At 44.8% G+C, this 13020-nt stretch overlaps 1 protein-coding gene across 2 annotated transcripts; it reads right to left on the bottom strand.

Annotated features, from left to right (window-relative positions):
- Positions 362 to 12053, bottom strand: GJA8 (gap junction protein alpha 8). Of its 2 annotated transcripts, none has more exons than XM_011509417.3 (2): positions 5613 to 7692; positions 362 to 3365 (listed from the first exon to the last, which is right to left on the bottom strand). In XM_011509417.3, the coding sequence occupies exons 1-2, from the start codon at positions 6890 to 6892 to the stop codon at positions 3362 to 3364; spliced, it is 1284 nt and encodes a 427-aa protein (XP_011507719.1). In that variant the 5' UTR covers positions 6893 to 7692; the 3' UTR covers positions 362 to 3361. The 2 variants fall into 2 exon arrangements, with proteins under 2 accessions (XP_011507719.1, NP_005258.2); NM_005267.5 differs by lacking the exon at positions 362 to 3365 and adding an exon at positions 11987 to 12053 and having other exon boundaries at positions 5579 to 6903.

Genomic DNA, 13020 nt, shown 5'->3' with positions numbered 1-13020 from the left:
TGTTCTTGAGGTTATTTATACCTACTCAATGGTACACATCAGTCGTATGGTGGAAACCCTTATCATGTTATGCTACTGCACATCTTCCCAACTCTGCATTCAGTGGCATTAGGTTGGTAGCTTGAAATTGGTGGCAGTGGGATAATTTAAACCAAGGAAATTGGCAAACACTACAAAGTCTGCCTTCTTTACCCTGGAGAGAGCTGGTGGTTGAACATTTACTAACATACCAACCTCACCACCTTTACCCCACTCGCCTTGTTTTCTAGGCCCTCAACTCCAAAGGAAAAATAACTAGAAACTGAGGCAGTCTCTTCACAGTCTACTTCAGCTGACACGTAAAAAGAAAAAACAAAGATGGTGAAAAGTCAAGTTAATTTTATTTGCTTTGTAACAGTCTAACACACGACTATTAGCTCTGGCACAAGGATGTGGAAGGTTGGAGAATACAGGACCACCATCCCAATAACGTGTCTCTCTTTTGCCAGAGATTTCCCCAGGAAGTTTGTTATGAATGTGCTTCATAACAAACTGAGTCTTTACCACTTTGTTTTATAGATGAAAAAATTGCAGAAAAAGGCCATGGGGTCATCTACTTTTCCCTTCAGACAACCTTATGAATTCTTTTAGAATCTTCTTTGTCTGCTCTGTAGAACTTCCAGAAAGCAGTGGCGTTGGAGACTATGGGATGTCCCACTGCAACTTGGTGGCTACTTTTTTATGTGGTATTCGGTTCCCAGAGCTGAATACCACTTTTTCCTGGCTCTGGGAGCTGCAATGTCTAGGGCAGTGGAGAGTGAACTGTCTTTCATAAAAGTTTTTCTTTCCTCTTACCCAAATGCTGAACCGAGAATTTTTTTTCCTTTTTCTCCTCCCTTCCCCAAGTACATATTTAGTTATAATACAATAATTGCAAAAGGGGAAAGTCTCCTTGCCTATTTCGCTATCACTTCTAGGTACACACTTAGTAGTTTTACAGATTGTATTTACACTCAGAAGAGTTTTTCTTCCAACCAGGCAAACCTTTCTCATCTAAACTTTGCTAAGCTGGGTTGGGCAATCATTTGCACACAGTATGCATAGAGGGTAAATCATGGTCAGGGAAAGGAGAGAAGAGGAGGCTGGGGGAATGGAATGGGACATGCAGTTGGGGTGGTGTTCTCATTCTTACTTAGAGCACGCCTAATGACCCTTCTCGGGAACTGGAGAGGAGCAGTGGTTTGTACCAATCTTGTCCTAGGCCTTCCACATGGCCTGGACTGAAGAGTTCCTGCATGCAGCTCTTTCCGTATCCATGGAGCCCCTTCTGCCATGAGTCAGAGATTATCTCAGGGGTTGACGCTTCTCCATATGTGAGCTCTACTAAGCCGAGTACCTTTAGCACCTCTTTCAGCAACCAATTCTTGCGTGATTAAAGACATTCTTTTTTTTGTACCATAATTCTTAGGAATTCAAGACTACCTGCTGCCCCTCCAAATTTATTTCCCTTACTTTAGTTATTGGCTCACTTTTTATCAGTATCTTAGTTAACAATCTATGCAGTATTTGAAAGTGATGACTGTCACTGCTTCAGTATACATTTTACAATATGGTCTTACAAAATTTGATGATGGCTTCTTTCTTTTCCATTTATTTCCAAATTAGTGAGCTTTAAAAAAGACCTATAACATCTTGTGAAGGAGGGGCAGAACTTATCATCCTCAACTAACATAGAGAAAATTGTCTCATAGAGCAGGTAAGTGGCATCTTGGAATACCCAGAGTCAGGAGGGGCAATCAACACCCCTGACTTGAATGTCAGTGTTCTTTGTGGGTCCCCAGGTCACACAGACCTTCAGGAATATCTGTCCAGTGCTGTACTGGATGCTTCCCTGTGTGGCAGGGGACAAAGACATGGTGAAAAGCAGACAGGCTTTTTTCTTTCTTTTCTTTCTTTTTTTTTTTTTTTTTTTTAAATAATGCCCAAAACACTAGGCCAGGGTTTACACAGCCAGGCTCAAAACTTTCTCACTGAACTTTGAGTACATCTATTCTTGGTCACAGATATCCCCTGAGGGTGGTGTTAGAACTGCTATCAAGTGATTAGCCCTTTTCCTCTGGAGGGAGCTGTACTACTGATGTCCCGCTGTCTAATGCATCTTTTTATTGGTAGGTCCATGTGCCCTAGGGTTTTTATCTAACAAGGGACCGACTAGGAGTAGAAATGAAATCTGGACATAATGAAGCCCATGGGGATTATAATCCTGACTCAGTCATAATTATTTGCCTCAAAACAGATGCTGAGTGGTGTAGCTGCCTAGAGTAAAGACCACCACAGACATGCAGCTGCTTCTAAATGGAAACTGGCTGTGTTTGTGTGGCCGCTTAAGATGGGACCTCTTTCTCAGAGAATGAAAGTAATTGGCAATCTGTCTCCAGTCATTTATTAAGGTCAATGAGCCTCAGGTTCCTACTAAACATATGGGGTTAAATTCTGTTTTGAATCTCTTCTGAGAAAAGTGATCTCTGGAGTGTCTATTTCACGTTGAAAAACTCACCAGGTAACTACGAGGCAGGTTGGAGGGACAGATGGAAACCATCCACCTGCCCTTCTTCCCAGTCTTACTGCTGTTGGAGGAATCTCTCAGGGAATGGTACCACTCAGCAGGCCTCATGCTTGGCAGCCAACTCAATCTTTAGGACACCCCTGGATGTAGGTAGGTGGCAAATGCCAGCTTTAGTTTGTAGACAGAAAACTGAAGTAAAGAGAGCTCAAGGCACAATAATGATACAGCTACTAAATGGCAGAAATAGAAAAAAAATGCAGCCCCTTGATGCCTGTGTCTGTTTCTTCCTAAATAGGCTTCTCCTTTTATTGGGAAGACTAAGAGGGAAAATGTGGGGACAGTGTGGGTACGTTCATTGAAGCAGGATACTGCCTCATCTGAGGAAAGACGCTCTATCACACACTTATGTCCCACCTGAGATAAGGAGACCAGTAGCCCTCATTTCTACAACTGGTACCAAACAGCAGTTTTATTTAGAACAGGATATCGTTTTTCTTTTTCTTTTTTGTATTAGGCTCTAGTTGAGATAGACACTTTATTCTGGTAATGATCAAGCTATTCATAAGGCTCTTCCTAAAATGCATCTTCAGGAACAAAACTATGGGAGCAATAGTGCAGCCATTAGAGTCAAGGATGCACTCTCTGGTTCTCAGGCCTCGGATTGTGTTAATTCTCTCACCATATAGGAGAAAGTCTGTGTAGAATAACGTTGCTTGCTAGGGGTAAGATTAAGCAGTAGCCAGAAAATCACGTGCCTCCAAGATAAACATACCTCTTCTATTCAACATCCCTCCACTGAAGGTTTGTCACTTTGGGTTACCTAGGTAAAAATATATTTTAGTCTTTCTCTTTTAAATGCAGTTTTTTCCCCAGGAGTAGTTACCGAACAATCAAACCTTAGAATGAATTTAATTTTTAGACTACTTTGCTTTAGAATGGGTCACCAAGGAATGGAAATTTTGTCAAGGGGGAGGAATAGTTTTGGAAAAGGCCTGCTTTGGAAAGGTATATCTTGAATGAATATCTTAAAAGGAAGGTGGTAACCAGAGGGCAGCAAAGGGGATTGATATACTTTGAGATGATGCTGATCGGGGTTGGGAAGATACAACAAACGCAGTTTTTCTAAGTATCCCTTTTGGGCCCCTTGCTGGTCTCCTGTCCAGGTCCCTGCTATGTCAACTTGGTTTCTATACCTCCTACCCTATCTTTGGCACTGCAGTCCATGAAGCATAGTGTTGCTTTAGGTGAACCATCTTAGTTTTCTCTCCTTGCTCTGGAAATCAATTGGCTGAGGGTAAAATTGCTCCTGGTATGAAATATGTACGTGTACATGAGGATTTCCCCTGAACAGACTCTGTGTTTGAGGAGGGTGAGTTGTGGGAATATGAGGACAGGAGCCCTTCAAGATTCTTCTTGTTCCCTTTAGCCTCTGTGTCCTTTCCAGGGATGAAGCTTGGCCTGAGACTCCACTTTGGGATCCTGGCTGTGTGAGCACCCACTTTGTGAGAGGCTCCCTCTGGTGCCACCCTGATGGCCCTTTGATCATGTCTGAGAGCTGCCTCTTCCCAGGACATGCCTGTGAGCAGATGTCCTCCAGCTCGAAACTGGGCTTGCTTCTAGTCACTAGTGAAAAAAGGTATAGATTTTAGGCTGAGCACTGATGCTGCAAGAGGGGAATAAAGAAAGGATCTTCTTTGCTTCAGGAAAAACAAACTACAACCAGGCCTCAAAGCCTTTTGATTTCACAGAGAGAGTTTTGGCAACTTGCTCTCTTTCTCTGATGGTACCCAGGGCAGAATTCCCACCAATACAAAGCATATCATTGCTTCAGAACCCAGGGGCTACAATGAGCCAAAAGAATGGTCAGTGAGAACTTTAGGTATCTCCTGGACTGATGATTTAAACAAAACACTCCAAAGTAGTGAAATAAGGTTTAGGAGCCACAGAAACAAGTTGAGACCATAAATAATAAGACCGATTCCATAGGAAAGCTGGGCTAATTAGCATAAGCTGATATTGCAAATTGGTGCCTCACAGGTTAAATGTGGCTTGCACATATTTCATTTGGTCCACATGTTGTATTTAAAATTTAGTTGCCAACATTAACAATTTTGAAAATTTCAATTAAAATTTAGATTTCATGGGCCAGGCACGGTGGCATACACCTGTAATCCCAGCATTATAGGAGGCTGAGGTGGGTGGATCACTTGAACCCAGGAGTTTGAGATCAGCCTAGGCAACATGGTGAAACGCCATCTGTACAAAAAATACAAAAATTAGCCGGGTGTGGTGGTGTGCGCCTATAGTCCCAGCTACTTGGGAGGCTAAGGTGAGAGGATCACTTGAGCTTGGGAGGTTGAGGCTGCAGTGAGCTGAGATTGTGCCACTGCACCCCAGCCTGGGCAAGAGAGAGCCTGTCTAAAAAAAAGGTTGGATTTCTGGCTTCCCTTGAAAAATCAGAAAGACCAGGTAACACTTCATGGTACTCATTGTCTGGAAGTGAGCAGCAGCTGCCCCTGCTTTCCAACTTTCACAGCCCCATTCTCTCCCTTGCATTAGAACAGGCCTGTCTTGCAACTTATGTCACCTGTCTGTATTCTGTAGGCTTTTGAGTCTGGATCCCTGAAATATGGTCACATGGTATCTGCTTCAGAAATGCTGGGATGATAGATTCTGGCTTAGTGAGCTTGAGACAAGATGGGTAAAAGGCTATGAGGCAACCCCAATTCCGATTTAAGGGTTTCTATGGAGAAATGGGGATGAAAGAAGAGTCACCCATAGCTGCTGGGGTTGGAGGAGCGGGGTAGTCCTATGAGACTGGGGAACTTTAGTGGGTCGATGGGTTTATCTTGGTAGCCCTTATGCTGGATGTGGGAAAGACTGTTTCCTAGAGTTGCCTGGAGTGCACTGCCCTGCTGCAGTGCCTGTCCAACCAGAGGCTGGTGGGAGGACAGGAGACAGAAGATTCAGATCATGTTGGCACCTGTTCCTTTCATCTTGCCCTACGTAAGCTTGGGCGTTTTTTTTTTTTTCTTTGGCGTCACTTCATACGGTTAGATCGTCTGACCTGGCTCGGCTGCTGGCTTTGCTTAGCCTGCTCAGGGGTCTGGCATCATCTGTTGTCAGCTCTGGACAGAGTGAAGGTGTCTTCTCAGCTGGCAGCCCTTGCTTTGACACCTTCTCCGACTGCGGCTCTTCTTTTTCACCCTCCTTATCCACTCCGGGGGTCTCTACTTTCTCCCCCTCTGGCACGGCCACCTTCTCCTGCTCCTCCGTGGTCAGCCTCTCTGCTTCCTCCTTCTTCTCTCCCACCTCGGGTTCGGCTCCCTCCTCTGCAGGCGGCCCCTCGCCCTCCACTTCTTGTGCCCCCACCTGAGCGTAGGAAGGCAGTGTCTCTTGGTAGCCCCGGGACAAGTCCCCCAGGGGTCCTGTGCTGATCTTCTCCTCGAACTGATTGAAAGGCTTGGCAGGCAGTGGGCTGGTCTCCACCATCCCAACCTCGGTCAAGGGGAAATAGTGGGAAACGATTTTCTCTTCTTCTAGGAGCTGATAGCCCTTGGCTTTCTGGATGGAGGAGACAGCAATGGAGTGGAGGGATTTCTCAGGAATCTCCCCCAGGGGCTGCTCTACAGGCCTCTTCAAGGCAGACCGGATCCCCTTCAGGCCCAGGTGGCCCAACTCCATCACGTTGAGGAATAGGGACACAGAGGCCACAGACAACATGAACAGGATGAAGATGGTTTTCTCCGTGGGCCGGGACACGAAGCAGTCCACCACATTGGGGCAGGGCCACCGGCTGCAGCGGTACAGAGGCAGGATCCGGAACCCGTACAGGAAGTAGTGGCCCACGATGAAGCCCACTTCAAAGAGGGTCTTGAAGATGATGTGGCAGATGTAGGTCCTCAGCAGGGTCCCCTCCAGCCGGAACTTCTTAGTGCCTTTGCTGCCGCTGCTCTTCTTGACGCTGCCCTGGTCCGGGCCGCCGTTAGTCCCCGCCTGCTGGCCCAGCTCCTCCGCCTCGCGGCTTTTGCGCTTCTCCTCCATGCGGACGTAGTGCACCGCGTGCCCCACGTACATCAGGGACGGGGTGGAGACGAAGATGATCTGCAGCACCCAGAGGCGAATGTGGGAGATGGGAAAGGCCTCGTCGTAGCAGACGTTCTCGCAGCCAGGCTGCTGGGTGTTGCACACGAAGTCGGATTGCTCATCCCCCCACACGAACTCTGCGGCCGTGCCAAGGATGAGGATCCGGAAGATGAAAAGCACGGTGAGCCAGACTCTGCCGATGACGGTGGAGTGCTCATTCACCTCCTCCAAGATGTTCCCCAGGAAACTCCAGTCGCCCATTTCTCACCCACCTGAAGAAATGAGGGAGAAGGCAAGAGCTGAGCGGCCGCAATGCAACCCTGAGTCAATATCTGTTTTTGCTAACGCGGGGTACCTCTCCTTTCCAAGTTGCCAGAACGGTCAATGTGCACACAGCGTCTATCCAGTGCTTCCTTTGTGCAGACTAGGACTAGAGAACAAAGAAGGCCCCGAAGAATGTGCTTCCATCCGCTTCCTCATCTGTAAAATGGGTTTAATAATAATAATACCTATTCTCATTCACTTCACAAATGGTCTGAAAGCATCAATGAGGCAATATTTGTATAATTCCTTAAAGTCCACCAAAAATAAGGATTCATTGTTGACCATAAATAGAAACCCTTGGTTACATGGATTTAAATCAAGACCACACACTGATCTAAGTTTCGTGAGACATAATGCTGAAGAGTTCCCTTATACTATGGGTGTCTGGGCTCCCAACACAATTCTTGTATGTATGAAATTGTCTGTGGCCATCTTATGTTTGAGTGTCAGAATATATAATGATCGTATATTTGAAGGGAAGTGGAAGGGGATTAGCATTTATTGAATACCAACTTTGTGAAAGAACTTTGACATTATATTATTTCATTTAACTTGATCCTGCTAGACTGTAATTTCCATGACGGTAGGAGCCATGCCTGTCTTATTTACAGCTATATACTCAATGCCTGACATACAGCCCAGCACACAGTGAGAACTTGATAAGTATTTGTTAACTAAGTTGATTCCAACAAATAAGAAAACTGAAGGCCAGGCACAGTGGCTCATGCCTGTAATCCTAGAACTTTGGGAGGCCAGGGCAAGAGAATCACTTGAGCCCAGGAGATAGAGACTAGCCTGGGCAACACAGTGAGACCCCATCTCTACAAAAAACTTTAAAAACTAGCTGGGCTCGGTGGTGCATGCCTGTGTTCCCAGCTACTTGGGAGGCTGAGCCAGGAAGATTGCTTGAGCCTGGGAGGTCGAGGTTGCAGTGAACCCTGATATGTGCCACTATACTCCATCCTGGGCAACAGAGAAAGACCCTGTCTCAAAGGAAAAAGAAAAAAAAGAAAAAAGAAATCTGAGGCTCAGAGAGGCTAAATATATTGTCCAAGATTAGACAGCTAAATAGCAGCAGTTCTGTTTGCTTGATCACAAAGGCTGGGTTCTTCCCACTACACCATTGAGATAAACTGCCTGCAATCAAAGCTACACAATTCTTTGACTTCTGTGCTCTTAATTTATGTTTCCTCTTCTCTAGGTTGAAATCTGGAAACCCTTATTAATAGCTTTACACATTGAGGGCCGTATATTTTTATTATTACTCTTTTAAATCCAAAGAACAGAGAGAATGCTTTGGGAAGGAATCATGTCACAGGATGAGGAAGGTCTTCTAGGACACTTTTAGTGTCCTATGGAATGAAAATGTTTCAGGGTCTGTAACATATGGCTGTTTTAATAGAGTCAAAAATTTGGTCTATAGAAAAAATATCGTTAAACATGATAGTATATAATGCCTGTAGCACAGCAATGGCTAATGGAAATGGCATTGAGCTGACAAGGGGCTGGCTGCAACTGGGTCATTCATCCAGTGCAAACCTGTAACCTATAAAGAATGATGAGCAAAACTTCCACCTCAATGGAGAACAGTTGTTCCTGCAGCTTGAACATCTCTAGAGTTATAAGTTTACTCATCACTGCCCTCAGACCAGGGCAAGAGCCCATGTTAGAGGATCTTGCTCTGGGCTTCTTCTAGCCATGCCCCATGCTATAGGCCTAGGAACCTATGGGGCTAAAGGGATATGCCTATTGTTTTTTAATCACAGTGATATTTGTTAAACACAAAAGCCTATTTCCAACCTGTGATTTGGAGTCTGGCCAGACAGAACCTGGTGGCAGGATACTAATTGCAGGCATCTGCAATGTCCAGCCTGTGCTGTCAGGGCAGGCACAATAGCTGTTCGCTTCTTGTGGGAGAGCAGAGAGTGCTCCTCCTCTTGAGGCCTCATAAGCTCCCAATCAGGCAGGGCATCCTGCAGCAGCTTCTCTTCTCCTGAAAAAGTGACAGCAGCTGTGGCATCCCCAGTCATGGGTCTGGCATTGGGAAGAGTTCCTTGGAGAAATGGGTAATGGAGAGGGGGAAGGACCCAGCAGCTCGGAATCGGAACCAGCAACTCAATCCCAGCCACATGTATCTATTTTTAACTCTTCAGACTATAGTTAAGTCTAGTAATTGCCCTGGTAAGAGTGGTAGCCATTCCCATTGCCTTTTGGAAAATAGGTGGGAAACATCACAATCAGGTAAGCAGCCCAAGCATAAAGCTCACTGGTGGCAGAGCCAGGAAAAAGTTCATTTCTTATCAAATAGTTCATTCTAAAATTTATGTTAAAACAGCAATTTGAATAACTGTACTTCTATAAGATTTAGCTAATATCTTACTATCTTACTAATATCTTACTGAATCTTAACTATCTTGCTAATACTTACCCTCATTGATATATCAGTTCATTTTTGACAGTGTATTTCACTCACATACCCACATGAATGTGTGTGATGAGCACATGCTCTCAGTCCTGTATGTTAACCAATCTTGTTTTCCCCCCTTTAGTATCAAAAGGTTTTGGAGGGCAGGAACCATTTTGGCCTCATCTTTTGTGAACCATCACAACACAGAACAAAGCCCTTCACAGAGTGGGAGCTCCATAGACAGCAGTGCATGGTTCTAATAGTAATCCTTGTGAAATCTGAAATTCTCAATCCCCAAATTCCTGTAATATGAATACTAGAGACCAAGGAACTTCAGTCCTCTTGCTACAGCTAACAGCAGAAAAATTAAGAACTTGTAAAAAATGGTAAATAACAAAAAGGATAGTAAATTGATCCCCAACCAGCTGCTCTGAGACACAAAACTGCTTATTTTGTATGAGATCAAATATATAAACTGGAAGGCCAACAATTCTTGACAAGAGTGTCATGATACATGTTCATGACACAAGAAGTCGTTCCTGACCACTCATTAGTAATTTTGAAACCAAAGCCAAACAAGCCCATGTCTTTCTATACTCTAAGCCGCCATGCTAAGATTGTATTTTTTTTTAAATGTCTAGTTACAGTTTCTTGTGATAACTGAAGGAGAGAAACTGTAATTTAGGACACAATCTTTCCAACCCCATGATGTTGAAACAGGCCTACTGTGCTGTTAAGGAGAGACACTTTAGAGCTGCGAAGGGAAATGTATTGGTTTCCTGACTTCTAACAGTGAAAATTTAAAGGAAGTCAGATCAGAGAAGCAAAGCGTTCTGTGGGAGCAGGGAGAAATCTGAACCAAAGGAAGACTATTTCTCTTCTCTTTCTCAGAGATAATTCTCTGTTTTATTTTGCTTGTGAAAATTTAGTGAACAGACCTATTACAGATGGAAAATAAATGGATAGAGTTCAAGCCTCCAACCCCAGGGTGTCCATATATGGCCAGGAACATCCCACCAGAAAATGATGGCTAGAGGTAATGATTAAAATAACACCTTATGTTTGGGTATCCTTGATCTAAGTGATACATTTTCACGTATCTTATTTCAGTCCTCATAACAAGCTGTGAACTAGGCCAGTGGTTCTCAGACTTAGATTTCACAGACTAGTATAATAATAACAAACTAGTGTGACCAACATAAGGATACCAACTCCTTATTTTGCCAAACAAGGACATAAAAATAAGAGTTATTGGCTGGGCGTGGTGACTCATGCCTGTAATCCCAGCACTATGGGAGGCCGAGGTGGGAGGATCACTTGAGGTCAGGAGTTCAAGATCAGCCTGGCCAACAGGGTGAAACCCTATCTCTACTAAAAATACAAAAATTAGCTGGGCACGGTGGTGGGGCACCTGTAATCCCAGCTACTTGGGAGGCTGGGGCAGGAGAATTGCTTGAGCCCAGGAGGTGGAGGCTGCAGTGAGCTGAGATCACACCACTGCACTCCAGCCTGGGCAACACAGCGAGACTCTGTCTCAAAAAAAAAAAAAAAGAGTTATTAAATTACTAACTACAACTACAGTCTATTTTCATCATCATTTCATAAAAGGGGATTTTAACACCACAAAACTGGAGAGGACATAACTTCAGAATAAAAGACAAGCCTTTAAATTGAACACACTTAACTTGGTGAAACATTTACTACATTGTTAACTTTATCATTGTCACATTTTGGTCACAGGTTGTGGAAACCTTCATCTTGAGCTAGAACTGACAGATCCCCAGATGGATGTCTGAGAACCAGTGAACTTGGCATTATCAATCCCCATTACCAGACAAAAAGACAGGCTGGGAGGTGAAATGAGTCTCCAAGATGGGGGCTTAGCTAGTGAGGGCAGAGCTAGGCTGTGAGCCCTGGTCTTCTAGATCTAAGCCCATTACAGCATAGCCCTCCTCTGGTTTTGAAGAGGCAGAATAACACATATACATCCATTAATAAGTTATCCAAAGCGTTCAATGGCCACTTACCACTCTGGTTGGTAACCAGGTGGAAAGTGCCTCTTTTCTAGTTTCTAGAACAGCCACTAGCCAGCAGTTCTCATAGATAGACAACAGAACCTGCTCCTAGGAGGAATTTTATGGTCCTTAGCCAGATCCCTTCCTGTGCTCCATTAAATGCTCCAACATGGAAAATGCTGAGCACGAAGCCTCCGCTACCCCCACAGCATTCAGTAATTATGACTATTATTTCTATTGTAGAATTTGAGTGAAAAGGGCACAAAACTTTTTCATAAATATCAAATACTTGGTTTAGGTCCCTGTGGATTCCTGTAGACATGAAAAGAGCTTAAGAAGTCAAATTGTAGTTTGAGTTTGGACATCTCTGTTTCCCCATCCTGCTGATTATTCCAGCATTCCTCTCCCTTCCAAACCTCTGCCAGTTCTTAGGTCAACTTGAAGAGGGTTTTCAGAGTTGGAGTGTAAGTCTAGCCATCCCAGCCCAAGACTGAATCTTATTGGCAACCTTTTTCCTTTTGGAGAAGCCTATATATGGCCCTTAGATTAGGCTGAGAAAGAACAATTGGGGGGAAGGTTACAAACTAATATCACCCAAGGAAAACTTGCCAATACAAGGAGTGTCCCACGGAGAAATATGTGCTCTTTCTCTCTTGGCGCTCAGCAGCAAAATGGCAACTTTCGTCTCTTTCCTTTGCTGCCTAAAAGCCCACCTCCCACTTCTCTACCCCGCCCCTACTGTGCTGCACGACTGAGCAGATATGACTGGATTGGCCCTGATGGGTAGGTTTTACTGTCCAGCAATATTTTAAGCTCCCAGCCAGACAGCTTTTATGAAGGGAGGGATGTTTGGGAAACAATGGGAGTGAGAGAATGGGAGAGCTGTGTTGGGCACTGAGGGGAGGAGGATGGGGAAAGCTGATGTGTGAAAGCTTAGCTGGGGCTTCTGTGCCTCCCAAAGTTTCTTTTAGCAGCAGACTGGGCCTGTACATCAGTAAACCTTTGGCGTCTCTCCAGAGCGCATGAGCCTAGGGGCATTTTCCCAAGGCCTTATCATCAGCTGGGAGAATCTTAATGATGTAGGGACAGTAAGTGGTCAGTTGTGTGAATCCCTCTGCCCTGAGTCACACCAAGAGTGGTTGGTCCTTTCCAAAGGACCATATTTCATTTTTTATTGGTGGTTTGCTCTTGTCTCTCAAAGCCTTCAGCAGAATTGTGGATATTAGAGGCTGGGAAGTGTAGTGGCGGAAGGAAGGATGGGGAGCATGTTGCTAATAGATACAAAAGCACAGCTAGATAGGGGGAATGGGTTCTGGTGGTCTGCAGTGCTGTAGGGTGAATATGGTTAACATTAATTAATTAATTATTTTAATTTTTATATTTTTGTGTGTGTGTGAGACAGAGTCTCGCTCTGCCACCCAGGCTGGAGTGCAATGTCACGATCTTAGCTCACTGCAACCTCTGCCTCTCAGGTTCAAGTTATTCTCCTGCCTCAGCCTCCTGAGTAGCTGGGATAACAGACACCCACAACCACGCCCAGCTAATTTTTTTTTTTCTATTTTTAGTAGAGACGGGGTTTCACCATGTTGGCCAGGCTGGCCTCAGACTCCTGACCTCAGGCGATCTGCCCGCCTTGGCCTCCC

The sequence above is a fragment of the Homo sapiens genome, chromosome 1 (genome assembly GCF_000001405.40).
Source record: "Homo sapiens chromosome 1, GRCh38.p14 Primary Assembly".
NCBI lineage: Eukaryota > Metazoa > Chordata > Mammalia > Primates > Hominidae > Homo > Homo sapiens.
The sequence above is the reverse complement of the archived record's forward strand: the minus strand, read 5'-3'. Positions and strand labels throughout refer to the sequence as shown.

Bases quoted from the DNA above. Each gene is read 5' to 3' on its own strand.
- GJA8 (NM_005267.5), bottom strand. From the start codon at position 6,892: ATGGGCGACTGGAGTTTCCTGGGGAACATCTTGGAGGAGGTGAATGAG.